The sequence below is a fragment of the Homo sapiens genome, chromosome 13 (genome assembly GCF_000001405.40).
Source record: "Homo sapiens chromosome 13, GRCh38.p14 Primary Assembly".
NCBI lineage: Eukaryota > Metazoa > Chordata > Mammalia > Primates > Hominidae > Homo > Homo sapiens.
The window spans coordinates 87,501,711-87,515,912 of record NC_000013.11 but is presented as its reverse complement, the minus strand read 5'-3'; the positions used below and the strand labels follow the sequence as shown (position 1 = coordinate 87,515,912).

The window sequence follows — 14,202 nt, the reverse complement described above, 5'->3', positions numbered from 1 at the left end:
CAAGTGAAAATTATGACAAAAGGCAACTGCAATCACTGCAATATGATATGAAAATGTGTGAATACTATTTTGAGAAAGTCATGTAGTGCTTATTTTGTGGTTTGCTGCCTATATTCATATATAAGGAGAAGAATAATTTCCATTAATGTTAGTGAAAATAAAGATATACTGTTTGTCTCATAAAAGTTCAGGGATCCCTTTAATTCTGCTTACAAAACATGGCATTTCACAGAATGCAGAATAAGAATTCCTGCTACAGAATATTCTATGGCCCACGTATCCCCTTTTTTTCTTTTTATTTATATTTTATTCTTTATGTATATTTTACTTTTGATTTTATATTTTATTTCCCTTCAAAAACTATAATCAGTTCAAATATAAACATTGCACATTGTCAAAATTATATTCTACTGTTTAATATGATAGATTTTGACTTGGAATTAGCTTTGCAGCAATAACACAAAACATTAAATAAGAGAGTAAAAATATTGAGAGAAACTTCCTACCACAAATTCCAATTATAAAAATTAACCAACAATTATTCAAGAAAATAATATAGATATAAATCTAATGCTTTAAATATTTGTAAATGTTTTTTTATTTAAAAAATCCTTAATATTAAAATGTAAATGTAGAATACTCAACATTTTTATTATTTTTTAAAGGAAGGAGTTTGAAAAGATTCAAGAACAGTGCATGTGAATTAGGGGATATGTATATTTTTAAAGTCCTGAAGTATACCTAAACAGTGGAGTATTGAGAATTAAAACAGATAGAAAACAACAAAATCCCTTGCCCAAATGCTTTTGCAGCTTAATTTACACATTCATTGTTTCACAGGAAAATTCTGTGACTTCTACCTTCAGACCCAAATTCAGATATGTGTCACTGTCTTCTTGTATTTGTATTTGAATGTATGCTTAGGTGACACCCAAACAAAGCTGAGAGTTTTAGTGTGTAATCTAAGATGCATCCAAGCACCTACAGCTTTATGAGCGCTACTTTATTCGTTCAGACATGTATACCAGGTATATGATTCCCACAGTGGCTTGTGTTAAGGAATTGGTGAGAACATAGATCAAACACTTATTTTCATTAAAAAAATGCTAACACCTTCACATTCGCATTTATTAGGAAGTTAAACTGACAAAGTGAGAAGGAAGTCCCACATTTTTATTTGATTTGAGTGAGCTGGATGTTCCAGAAATGAGTGTTTTCTACCTTCTGGCCTTCTACCAACAAGAGTACAAAGGAGCCTGGGGTCTGGTGCTCTGGGAAAAACCACTGCTTTAATTCCCTGAGTCCATTTAGAAAGCCTCATCATGGAATCCATTCTTGATTATATCAGTCACTACTATTTGCCCGAAGTGTTTGTTCCTCGCAGATTATCTCTCAGATGGTTCAGATAAAGCCTCCTCTGATCAAAATATTTTAAATTTTGCTCCAGATACCACACACTTTCATTTTATCTTTTCCATTTTTTTTCTAAATTATTCAATAACATCCAGCATGTGCTATATTTTGCATTTTTTTCATTGTTTATCTTCTGATTTTGATTGTAAACCCTGCTAGATAAAGGAATTTTGTTTGGCTTATGTACTTGTATGTCCCCCATATTTTGAGTTATGCCTGGCAGGTGGTACTTGCTTGATGAAAAAGTTGTTGATGGGTTAATAAATGATTAAAGGAGATGTCTCCAAATAGGATATATCCTCCTACCAGTTTACCTTAGCATCTCAAATCCCAGTATTGATGACCAAATTGCTGCTTTCTCATGCCACCAGGCACCCTCATGATCTGCACATACTCTATTATCCTCCTCAGTTTTCTGAACAATAAAGAGGAAAATGATGCAGCTAGAAATTGTGAAATCATCTCTGTCTCCAGCTCTTGTTTCATGATCATTGCAGTCCTAGCCTCAAATATGAGTAGAACAGAAAAAGTTTCTGAAACGTGTGCTTCCTTTTAGAAGATTTGGAATCCCTGACAGTGATAGCTCTAACTTTCATCACTGGCATATCATTGTCATAGAAAGATATTCTAGTGTTACTTTTTTCACCCTTAACATGCATTTTCTTCCTCTGGTTATCATTCTCTTGGTTGAAGCAGCATCAATGTTTATCTTTAAATAAAAACAGACTATCATATTCTCATGAGAAACTATATAGATGAGTTCATATTTATAGTCTAAAAACATTAATTTATTTCATTTTTATGTTTTAGAAATGGTTCGTCAGAAATAACAAAGATTGAGATTTTCTTGACATTACCTCACTCTATCTTTAATATTTCCACATATTCATAAACTAATTTCTCTATATGTACATGGAACTCATTCAAGTGGTATGCTAATTTGACTTTATAACAAAATAAATAAATTATTTCAAAGTAATACAAAATAGTGACCATTCCTTCTTTTCTAAAGGAGAGAAGGAACATTGTGGACCCCATGTAAATTACTGTACTAGACTCATTGTGCCAAGTGCTTGGGTATAAGCAAAAGTTACCTGCCATCCTCTCCCCTTTTTGTGTTCATCTGTCTTTCTGTGTTCTTTTTTTCCTCTCTCTCCATTTGGTGGCATGCTCATTTTTCAATCACTTTACCTTGGCATCACTAACAAACCTACTTTTTTTTTTCTCCCACATCCAGGCTGTTCAACACATTTCAAAATTCTGTTATTTCTTCCTGTTCCTGTCCTTAAAAGCTGTCACTTCCTCTCCGTTTCTGAAGCCAAAAACCTCATCCTAATATCTTTATCTACAGCAACATGTTCTCCTCTTCTACTCAAAATTTATTCTATGGTTTATTTTATCAGCCACATAAATTAGCAAAATTCCTGTTTTCCATTCAAGGTGATTAACTATTTTACATTAAGTTTCTTTTGACTTGTTGGAAGCTGAGTTCTTTTTGATTCACCCTGGTGCTCTTCTTTCTGCATGTTCACGTGGAGACCTGCCCACTTTGCCTCTACACATTGTTTTCAATGCCAGACATGATTGGTTTATAATTCCTTTCATTCAAATCTCTGAGTTGAGAAAACTCAAACCTTACACTTCTGAATCAATCAGGATAGGTTAGGAAGTGCTGTGGTGACAAGTAAGCCCTGAACTGCAGAGGCTCACAACAAAGGAATATTTTTACTCAACACCATTCTCAGGTGTTGAGACCACTGCCTGTGTAGTAGTTCTATGGTGCCTTTACTTTAGGTCCAAGGTGGGCAGAGTAGTGTCTGGATAGAACATTACAGGTTTGCGGCAGAGGGACGTAGAAACGATGTACTGGCTCATTAAACTGTCTGCTTGGAACTGACAAAGTCCAATTCTGTTTAAATCTTGTGAAATTTAGTCTCATGACAATGCTCCAGTTCAACAGGGTGAGGATATATGTGTTACCTGCTGGTTTGCTGAAATCTTGAGCACCAACCTGTTTGGTCAACAGTAATATAACCTTCCCCGCCTTCACAGTCACTGCCACCAGCACCAAAATTTTGGTATGCATTTTGACCAAGAAAATTAAGTTGACTTGGAAATATGAAAGGTGTAATCTATCATCATCCCTCCGAAATGAGGTTGTCAATTTGAAGCAAGGCTTTGGCAAACTGTAAGTCTGTGTGGCAGAAGCAGGGCAAAAATCTGTCTTGGAAATGCAAGTTCCAGAAAGACAGATCAGAATGATGACATGAGGCTGCTGCAGCATCTTCGTACAGTTGTATACACAGGCATTATTGTTAGGAAATTATTTTTCCTTCACATATAAGAGGCCATAATATAGTATGTGAATGTCACCTGCTTAAAGTAATAAGTAAATGAAAAGAATCAATTAGCAAATGCATTAGGCAGGGTACCACTGTGGGAGAAAATGACTGACTTCAGGACTCTTCTCAAAAATCCAAGAGAGAGAACTGATGTGAGATTCAAAGATTTGCCATTCACAATTGAATTTGAACACTATCAAGGCAAGATTCCTGATTTTAACTAAACACAGAATACATTTGAATTTACTAATTGAATTCCAGTGCTACACTACTTTTTCAACTCTAGTTATTTAATATAAATTGTAAAATAGGCCAAGGCGGGCAGATCACCTTAGGTCAGGAGACGAGGCCACTTGACCAATATGGGGAAACTCTGTCTCTACTAAAAATATAAAAATTAGCCAGGCTTGGTGGCATGCACCTGTAATCCCAGCTACTCCTGATGCTGAGACAGGAGAATCGCTTGAACCTGAGAGGCGGAGGTTGCAGTGAGCCGAGATGGCGCCATTGCACTCCAGCCTCAGCAACAAGAGCAAAACTCCATCTCAAAAAAAAAAAAGAAAAAAAAAAAATTTACGGTTTTGTATGAAGTCTACAAAATATTAAGTTTATTGAATATGTCAGTTGATTTTAAAAGTTTCTTATTTTAGGAAATTATAATAATTCCAATTGCTTCTTTTGCATTAGATAACAATATCAACTGAATATAAAATATTAATGCCATGGATGATCTCAGAAATGATTTCCTACAAAGTCCCAACCTATCCTGGAACATTTCTTATGTGTGCTTGGGTAAGTAGTTTTCTCTGCTTCACATTTCTATTAAGCAGCTTGGTACATCTCTCATTAACATGTTATGTTATAAACAATTCTACTTTTTAGAAAAATCTTTCCTCTTGTTTACCTGAAGTCTATATTTCTGTAATGTCTAGTCTATTATCATGGTTCTGCTTACTGGAAAAAAAAAGGCCATTTCATCTTTTATATAAAATAACTTCAAACATTTGCCAATGACTATGGCTTCTTTCTTACCTTTTCCTTCTCCTTTCCTTCCCTTTTCCAAAATAAATTACTTAGTATATCTGATGTTCTCTGATATGACAAAAATTACAGATCTTATAACAGTCTGATAAAATTGCCCAGGACCTTTTCATTCATTTAAAAAATATTTATTGTCTGTGTATTCTGTACTATCAAGAACTATACTGATCCAGTTTTGAGTATTCAAATGCAGTTTCTGCTCTTAGGAAAGTTATAGCATGTTTGGGAGGCAGATATTTAGAAAAAATCCATAAGTTCATATATAGTAACATAGTATGATGCATGTTCTGAAGGTAAGTGACAGTGTGCTTTAACACATGGTATATAGAACAGACTACCCTGGATGGGCATGTTACACTAGCACTTTTATTAACTTAGCCTCCCCATTTTATTTCTTCTCTTACATCCTAAGCAGCATTAGCTTTATTTGCAGTAGCATTAAAATTGTGACAAGTTTCTTGTCAATAATACGACTTTAGTATTGATAGCTTAAAAGCATATAAAATATATAAAGAACTTTAAATTCTACCTTCCAATTTATATTTTGCCATAATATCTTCTATTAAAAAACCTGAAACAAATGAACAACAACAACAACAACAAAACAATGTCCACAAAACAAAGAAACAAACAAAAACTGAGGCAGGTTTTTCTGAGTTTTCATGAATTTGTTTTTTATTATTTAGAAGGAACTTAAGTTACATTTCAAGCTTAGTTCTGATGGATTGTGGCGAGGGAATGAGCTGCTATTTAAGTTGACCCTGAAAATCTTTGGAAAGTGTCAGATTATATCACAAGAGACAATTGCTGTTTGTACCCCTTTGCTAGAGTTCAACAGTAAGCCAGAGTGCCATGACTTGTTTTCATCCAGCTGAGAAGTAAAAGTCTCTTTTTATTCTTTTTACAACTTAGTAGTCATAGAAATCTCAAGAAAGGCCTAAGGTAGAAAATGTATTGAACTAGGTAGAACTTAGCAATTTAACGAAAACTGCTGTTCTTGTCCTGTAAAAATGAAATAGATGATTGAAACTTAAGACATTAAGAGGTAAAAGAAACTGCATTCTCAAGATTTTTTCTTAAAGGATCCAAGGAGTTCTGTTTTTCTCCTTTCTAAAGAAAAATTGTAGTTGTAACTTGCTAAAAGAAAGTGAAATCTTTAAATTTCATTACAAAGGGGAAAAAACAGAATCTGATCTAGATAATTTATGTGTATACAAGGTTCATTAAAAATAGTTTCTTATAATTTTTCACTGATGACAAAAGCAAAAAAAAAATTTTTCCTGAATTGATACATTTTCAGATTAATATTATGAATCTCACTTATAATTTATGAAAAATTCTAAGGTATTAATATATACGGAAAGAACAGTAGTTTGATTTGACCAATTTTCTAACATCTGAAATAAACACTTCAAATAAAATATTAGAATAAAATATATGTACTGCCAAATGGAAAGTTAATTCATTTTCTTAATCTATAATATATATAGACAGAGATGAAGAAAATGTGATAATTACAAAAAAGATGATGAGGAAACGCAGTGACTGTCTGTAAAACCAACTTTTTATTCACACCTTAGCATCATGCTGAAGCCCACTGAATGTAAAGGAAATACTTTTCCCATGTGTATCCATATTTCTCAAGTAAACTGAGGAGTCCGTATATTATCGACTTCAGTCTGTGTACATCTAAAGGGGGCTACTCTTGGCTTACAAGTCAATTTTTAAGATACCTGGGGCTTTGCCTTCTTTAACAGCCCTTTTGCTCAGAATGTTCTATGCTGTTTGGGCTTGCCTTGCAATTGATCCTCGATTTGAAACTGACAACTGTGAACCAGCGAGAAAGTGATGTGGCAAGAGTTGCCACGGCTGAAGAATATTCAAAGAAAGGTCTGCTTGGGCAGGTTACACTTCATGCTGGATCACAGACAAGAATGCAGATTCTTATCTCCTGAGACCCCTTAAGCCACAAACACTTTGAAATGATATATATAGATCTCACTATATATGTATGTATATATAAAACATTTGAAATGTTTTATATGTGTCTCACATATATATTTTTCAAAAAAGTTAATATAGTGCACATACTAATTTTTTTAATTATTATTTTTTGAGGCAAGGTCTCATTGTCACCCAGGCTGCAGCACGATCACAGCTCACTGCAGCCTCAATCTCCAAGGCTCAAGTGATCCTCCCACCTCAACTTCCCAAATAGCTGAGACTACATGGTGTGCCACCATGCTAGGCTAATTTTTGTGTGTGTGTGATTTTTGTAGAGACAGGGTTTCACCATGTTTTCCAGGCTGGTCTTTAACTTCTAGGCTCAAGCAATCCTCCCTCCTAGGCCTCTCAAAGTGCTGGGACTACTGGCATGCACCACTGTGCCCATCTCATACCAAATATTACATAACACTTTGAATAAATTCTGAGGCAGCACCTCATAATCAAATATATTAATATTTTTGTACCCAAAAGACATGATAGTCACATGAAGAGGAATAAATAGCAATTACAGAGCATGTTATTTCAATTCAGGTTCAATTTGCAAATGAGTCAAATAATTTAAAAAATACTAGATTTTGAAAACTCCATATATTTTGTTATTGTAGATAAAGTATTATAAGCCCATATTTACAAAATACTTACTGTGTATCTAAGATGTTTCAGGGAACCTGGAAAAAGAACATGGAAGAGTAAGAAAGACAAGTTCAACCTTTTGGGTTCACACAAATTTTAAGAACGCAGAGGTTTGGATTTACACAGGAAAGGATTGTATTTTGGGCTTTCCATGTGGGGAGGTGTGAGCATATCAGGAACAGGGCATTTTCTCATGCAGTGTCTCCCACAGCACTGTAGAAGCACCAACTGGCAATTACCTCACAACACTATAAATATTTTTATTTATGCCCTCTCTCTCACTAGACTGTACAATCCTTAGAAGCAGGAATTATGTCTTATTTATATTTACATTTGCTGCACCCCGTTCATTGCCTGGGATATGAAAAGCACTAAACATGTATTTAATAAATAAGTATAATAAAATGATTTCTGCCCAAGTTTTGGGGTAATAAGCCAAATCACTTAATGATTCTTAATTTTGTGTGCTAGATTATACTAAATTTACTCCTCAACTAATCAGAGAATGTTTATGAAAATAATACAGATTTCCACAGGCGTGGAAAGCAAATTCAAGTTCTGATACTGGTTTCCAGTACTAGGCAGGTCTCCTGTTGAGATTGCATCAATGAAAGCTGAAAAAAAAATCAGAGTAAGTAAAAGACACAATAAACTTGTCACAGGAATATTTTACATTTGAAATACTGTGAACTTAATTTGAATAAATGAGGATTAATGAATATCTGCTGAAAAAAATGGCATTTATTATTCCTGACTTCTACTTTTCCTCAACTGTTAAATAAAAACCAAATAATGACAATCTCTGTGCTATAGCACTGTCAGATAATTTTAAGAGTGAAATCATTTCATGTCAATATTATTTAACAGAGGAGATCAGGAAAGGAAGTAAACAATATGGGCTAAAATATTTTTAGAAAGATGCTTTGAGGTATGTCGAGAGATTGGAAAGACCACTACAGAAAAAAGAACTATCTTTTAAAAGATTCAAGTTAGTATTGTATAGAGGAGATGTAGTGATAACTAAATATAGGTAGATTTGAGAGGGTTAAACTGAAAGGTCTTGACAAGGGGAAAGTACATTGCAAGTGCCTAGGCATGAGTATTAAGGGATAATAATAAAATTTAGATCCATAAGTTGTGTTGCATTCTGATTTAATTTGTAAGATTTAATATGGAGATCATGGGTTTTATCCAGTAAAATGTGTTTTTCAACCTAAAATCCATAATTACATTCAGGGTGCAACAAATCGCACTGGACAATCACTATGCCAACAAGGGTTACTACATATTTTCAAAATTTGGAATTATAAGAAGTATTTGCAAGAGTTTCAGCAAAATTAACTTTCTAGGAGAGGAAGGATGCCAGATCTGGCAAAATCAGAAACTGATGAAACAATTTAGAAGCTTCCTTTTTCAGGGAATATGGGCCGTCCAAATGCATGGGTGTTTTTGCTCAGGAGAAGAATGGTGAGACTCAGGCAGGCTCATGATATTCAGATTTCAGGAGATTTGGCTAATCACAGCAGATCTCTAGCTAGGGGAAATAGACAAAGTAACACAATAGGCCACAAGGTTTAAGAGGGAAGGGAGAACGAATGAAGAAAGACCTGTGGTCCCAGAGGCTACCTACCTTAAGGTGCTGCCTTTTGACTAATTTAAAGCAGGCTGTGAACAGGTAAGGACTAGAAAATACTCCAGATAGGGCTACCGTGACCTAAAGAATCAAATGACCACGTCAGTGCTATCGTCAACATAGGACATATAGTCAGAATGAAAAAGAAACACATGAGCATATCTAGGAAGAAAGAAATAAATTTAAATTGAAAAGTACATTTTTTTTCAGTGTTCAAGTTAAAAACTGATGGATTCACCTTTATGTATCTTTTTGGTGGCATACTTTTTCATGTTTTCACATGTTGACTTACATTCTTTGCATTTAAGTTGCTTCATCTCTCCCCAAATCTCCTTGATCTGTCTTTAAGAATTTTCAACTGAAAAGTTTTTCAACCATACTGTAGGTATCATTTTTTGTGTGTGTGGAGGCAAGGAGTATTTCTGTACTAATAACTTTTTTTTTCTTAAAATTAGGGTTGTTTTTAATTTCTCACTTTTCCCTGGCCACTGAGAGAGAAAACTGATATTTAACAATGTAAACAGTTTGGAACTATACAGCTATAGAGTATACGTGTTATCAATTGCTTAGGAAAATATTTGATAGACATTAAAATACAGATTTCACACAACTAACAGAAAAAAGTCAGCAAGAAACATAGCTGAGAAATCAAGACTAGGATGACCTTCCTGCCTTACCTCCATGTATACAAATTATCTGTCTTGCTCATTCCCACATCAAGAAAGCACCTGAGAGGAACAGAATTACAGGCATACTTTGTTTTATTGCTGTTAGCTTTATTACACTTTGTAGATAACGTGATGTTTTAAATTGAAGGTTTGTGGCAATCCTGGATCAAGCAAATCTATTTGTGCCATTTATCCAACAGCATGGGCCTACTTCATGTTTTTGTGTCACATTTTGATAAGTCTCACAAAACTCAAACTTTTCCATTATTATTATATCTGTTATGCTTATCTGTGATCAGTGATCTTTCATGTTACTATTGTAATAGTTTTGGGGTATCAACAAACTGCGCCCAAATAAGATGTCAAACTTAAATGTGTGTTGTATGCCTTCTAACTGCTCCACCAACTAGCTGCACTCCCTGCTGCTTTTCTCCCTCTCCTCTTTCTGTCTCTCTCTCTCTCTGCCTCTCTGTCTCTGCTCAGGCCTCCCTACTCCCTGAAACACAACAATATTAAAATTAGGCCAATTATAACCTTACAATGGCCTCTAAATGTTCAGGTGAAAGGAAGAGTTGGACATCTTTCACTTCTTTCACTTTAAATCAAAAATTAGAAATGATTAAGCTTACTGAGGTAGGCATATTGAAAGCTGTGATAGGCTGAAATCTAGGCCTCTTATGCCAAACAATTGCCAAATTGTGAAACAAAGGTAAAAAATTTCTTGAAGTAAATTAAAATTGACATTCCAGTGAACACATGAACGATGAGAAAGTAAAACAGGCTTATTTATTTATGGAGAAAGTTGTAGTGGTCTGGATAGAGGATAAAACCAAATCACAACATTCCTTTAGCCAAAGCCACGTCCTAATTGGGTAAAGTCCTAGCTGTCTTTAATTTCTTGGAGACTGAGAGAGATGAGGAAGCTGAAAAAGAAAAGACAGGAGAGAGCAGCGGTTGGTTCAGGAGGTTTCGTAAAGAAGCTCTCTCTATAACATGCAATTACAAGGTGAAGCTGCAAGTGCTGTTGTAGAAGCTGCAGCAAGTTATCTTAGGAGGTCTAGTTAAGATCATTGATGAAGGCAGTTAACACCATACAACAGATTTCCACTGTCGACATCTCAGCCTTCTATAGGAAGAAGATGCCATCTAGGACCTTCATAGCTAGAGAAGAGAAGTCAATGCCTGGCTTCAAAGCTCTAAAGGACAGACTGATTCTCTTATTAGGGGCTAATGCAGCGGGTGACTTTAAGTGGAAGCAAATGCCATTTACCATTCTGAAAATCCTCAGGCCTTTGAGAATTATGTTAAATCTATTCTGCCTATGCACTATAAATGGAACAAGAAAGCCTGAATGACAGGACATCTGTTTATACCATGGTTTACTGAATATTTTAGGCCTATTGTTGAAACCTACAGTTCAAAAAATATGTCTTTTCATTTTCACAATATTACTTGTCATTGACAATAATATTGACAATATTACTTACATTGTCATGCACTTGGTTACCCAAGAGCTCTGATGGAGATGTACAAGGAGATTTGTGTTGTTTTCATGCCTGCAAACGTAACATTCTGCCACCCATGGATCAAGGATTAGTTGTGACTTTCAAGTCTCCCTATTTAAGAAATACATTTTGTAAGGCTATAGCTTCTATAGATAGTGATTCTTCTGATGGATCTGGGCAAAGTGAACTGAAAGCTGTGTGGAAAGAACTCACCATTCCAGATGTGATTAAGAACATTCGTGATTCATGGGAGGAGGTCAAAGTAAAATTAACAGAAATTTGCAAGAAGTGTACTTCAGCACTCTTGGATGACTTTGAGGAATTCAGTCCTTCAGTGGAGGAAATGACTGCAGATGTGGTGGCAATAGTGAGAACTAGAATTAGAAGTGGAGACTGAAAATGCTACTGTATTGCTGCAATCTCATGATAAAATTAGAATGGATGAGAAGTTGCCTTTTATGGACGAAAAAAGAAAGTGATTTATTAAGATGAAATTGTAACTCCTGGTGACAATGCCGTGAACATTGTTGGAACGACAAATAACTTAGAATATTACATAATCTTAGTTGATAAAACAGCAGCAGAGTTTGAGAGGATTAATTCCAATTTTGAATGAAGTTGTACTGTGGGTAAAATGCTATCAAACAACATGGCATGCCACAGGGAAATCTTTAGTGAAAGAAAGAGCCAATCAATGAGGCAAACTTCATGGTTGTATCATTAGAAAAATTTCCCACAGCTTCTCCAACCTTCAGCAACCACCATGCTGATCAATCAGCAGCCATCAACACTGAGTCAAGCCCTTCCACCAGCAAAAAGATTACGACTCTCTGAAGGCTCAGATGATTGTTATCTTTTTAGAAATAAAGATTTTTTCTAAATTAAGATTTGTACAGTTTTTTGACATAATGCTATTGCATACAATGTACTATAGTATCTTGTAAACATAACTTTTATAGGCACTGGAAAACCAAAAATTTGTGTGATTCACTTTATTGCAATATTGGCTTTATTGCAGAAGTTTGGAACAGAACGCACAATATCTTCAAGGTATGCCTGCACTAAAAACAACTGGGAATCAGTATTGAGAGAACAAGTGTGCCCTTGGGAATCCATCAAAAGTAGCTTAATAGAACAACATCATCTTTACATTAGGTGTAAAATATCTACATTATTTAACTAAGTACAAGTATTTCTGGAAATGTCTTTGGCACCTTCCTACCTCCATTAGAATATACATCATCACCATAATCAAAAAGTCAGTTTATTTTTTTCCCATTTTTTTCAATATTACATTTTGTGTAAAAAATTGCATAGAACATTGGGAGGCCTTTATAAAGTTTTATGATAGCTGCTACATTCATTCAGCTGCATCCGCAGGGTAGAGATAAGGGCTAACTCTGATAAAATTAAGTGAAATTGCTTCTGTCACCACTCCACATGGTTCTTTGCTTCTGTCTCTTACTTATTAACTTTTTTGCAGTAACTCATTAGCAAGCTGACCATAAGATGCCTTATGATGACTGAAATCTCCCTGTGCTTCAAACAGGGTTATTTGACCCCTAACTGCCTGGTATCCCAAAATTTTCTTTCTACTATCTCTGTCCAGCTAAATTCGATAATTTCTTGAGAGAAGAATAAGAGTAGATTAGATACATTTCTTTATTTTTTTGGTGCTTATTTTGTGCTAGAAGTCTGTGTAGTGACAATTTTAATGCCACAAACGTTATTGACTATTGGATCTTTTCATAGTTGCCATGTCATTTTTATCTCATTTAACTTGAGATTTATGAAATGTTTACCTACCTGTCTAGTGGATGTTTACACTAACAGAAAAAATGCAGAGAGGCAAACAAAGTAGAATTAATACTCTTATTAGTGATTGTTATTTTGACTCCTGGTCTTCACGAAGATTCATAAGTACTCAAAATAAATTCAATAACTATTTCATACCTAATATGAAGATAATGCACACATAATAATTTTAATATGAGTTTTTTCCTCAAAGACATTTAAATATAGAAGAGAGGAAATTATACATGCACGATAATAATACAAGATCTAGCAGTATAACAAAATTAATTTCTCCCTTAATGTTTAGTCTTGTCACAATACTCATTAATGTTAACACAATTAAAAAAAAAAACTCTCTGAGGATCTCTGAGGGAATTAGGAATTCTGATTAACCCTAAAGATAATCTTCCAAGATATTCTTAGCATGTGAAAATGTCATTTTAAAAAAAAATGGCATGGGGTTATTCATTATGCTATGGCATAGGTATTGGGAAAGAAAAAAAGGGCTACCTAAAATGGTGATAGTTACATATGAAATAGTATATGCAAAGAAACCTTAATGAAATGGGGTCGCACAATGCTGACCAGGCTAGCCCTGAACTCCTGGGCTCAATCACCCCACCACTGCTTCCCAAGTAGCTGGGATTAAAGATATGCATCATGCTTGGCTAGATTTTTCTAAAACAATTCAGAAGATTTCTAAAATTTTCAGCTTACAGAAAGAGTGAGCTAGAAAGAATACTGTTGACATCCTGATAATAATAAAATATCTGAAGAAACTGCAAATTAACTGTTCCTTTGAAGCTATGAGAGACCTGAAATTACAGAGAAACCAAGTAATCTGAAATCTGGGGAAAGAGATGTCCAAGAAATTACTTACTTGTGGCTGATTTGCAGAGAGAACACCAGTAAACACTCTCACTTGAGAACACGAGTGGAAAACCACTGCAGCTCATGAAAAGGATCTACCCTTGAGATAGGGGCAAGCATGTTTTACCCAGTTATGAGTGGGAAGGTTTGGTAGTCATGCGTAAATGCAGAGGTTTCCATATTGTAGGTCCTAATGAAAAGAGGAAATTAGAGTAATGCATAATGTTAAATATGGTAGTAGGTAGAATTAACCAGATAGAAATCAAAACAGGTAGGAGTTTGAATTTTTGTAATAA

General features: G+C 34.7%; 1 long non-coding RNA gene across 1 annotated transcript in view; it reads left to right on the top strand.

Annotated features, from left to right (window-relative positions):
* The window catches only part of MIR4500HG (MIR4500 host gene), a 226,977-nt gene that overhangs the window by 155,051 nt on the left and 57,724 nt on the right, over positions 1-14,202 (top strand). Inside the window, exon 2 of the long non-coding RNA NR_033829.1 lies at positions 4,443-4,547. This is a non-coding gene — a long non-coding RNA (MIR4500 host gene). The remainder of the gene's footprint in view (positions 1-4,442; positions 4,548-14,202) is intronic.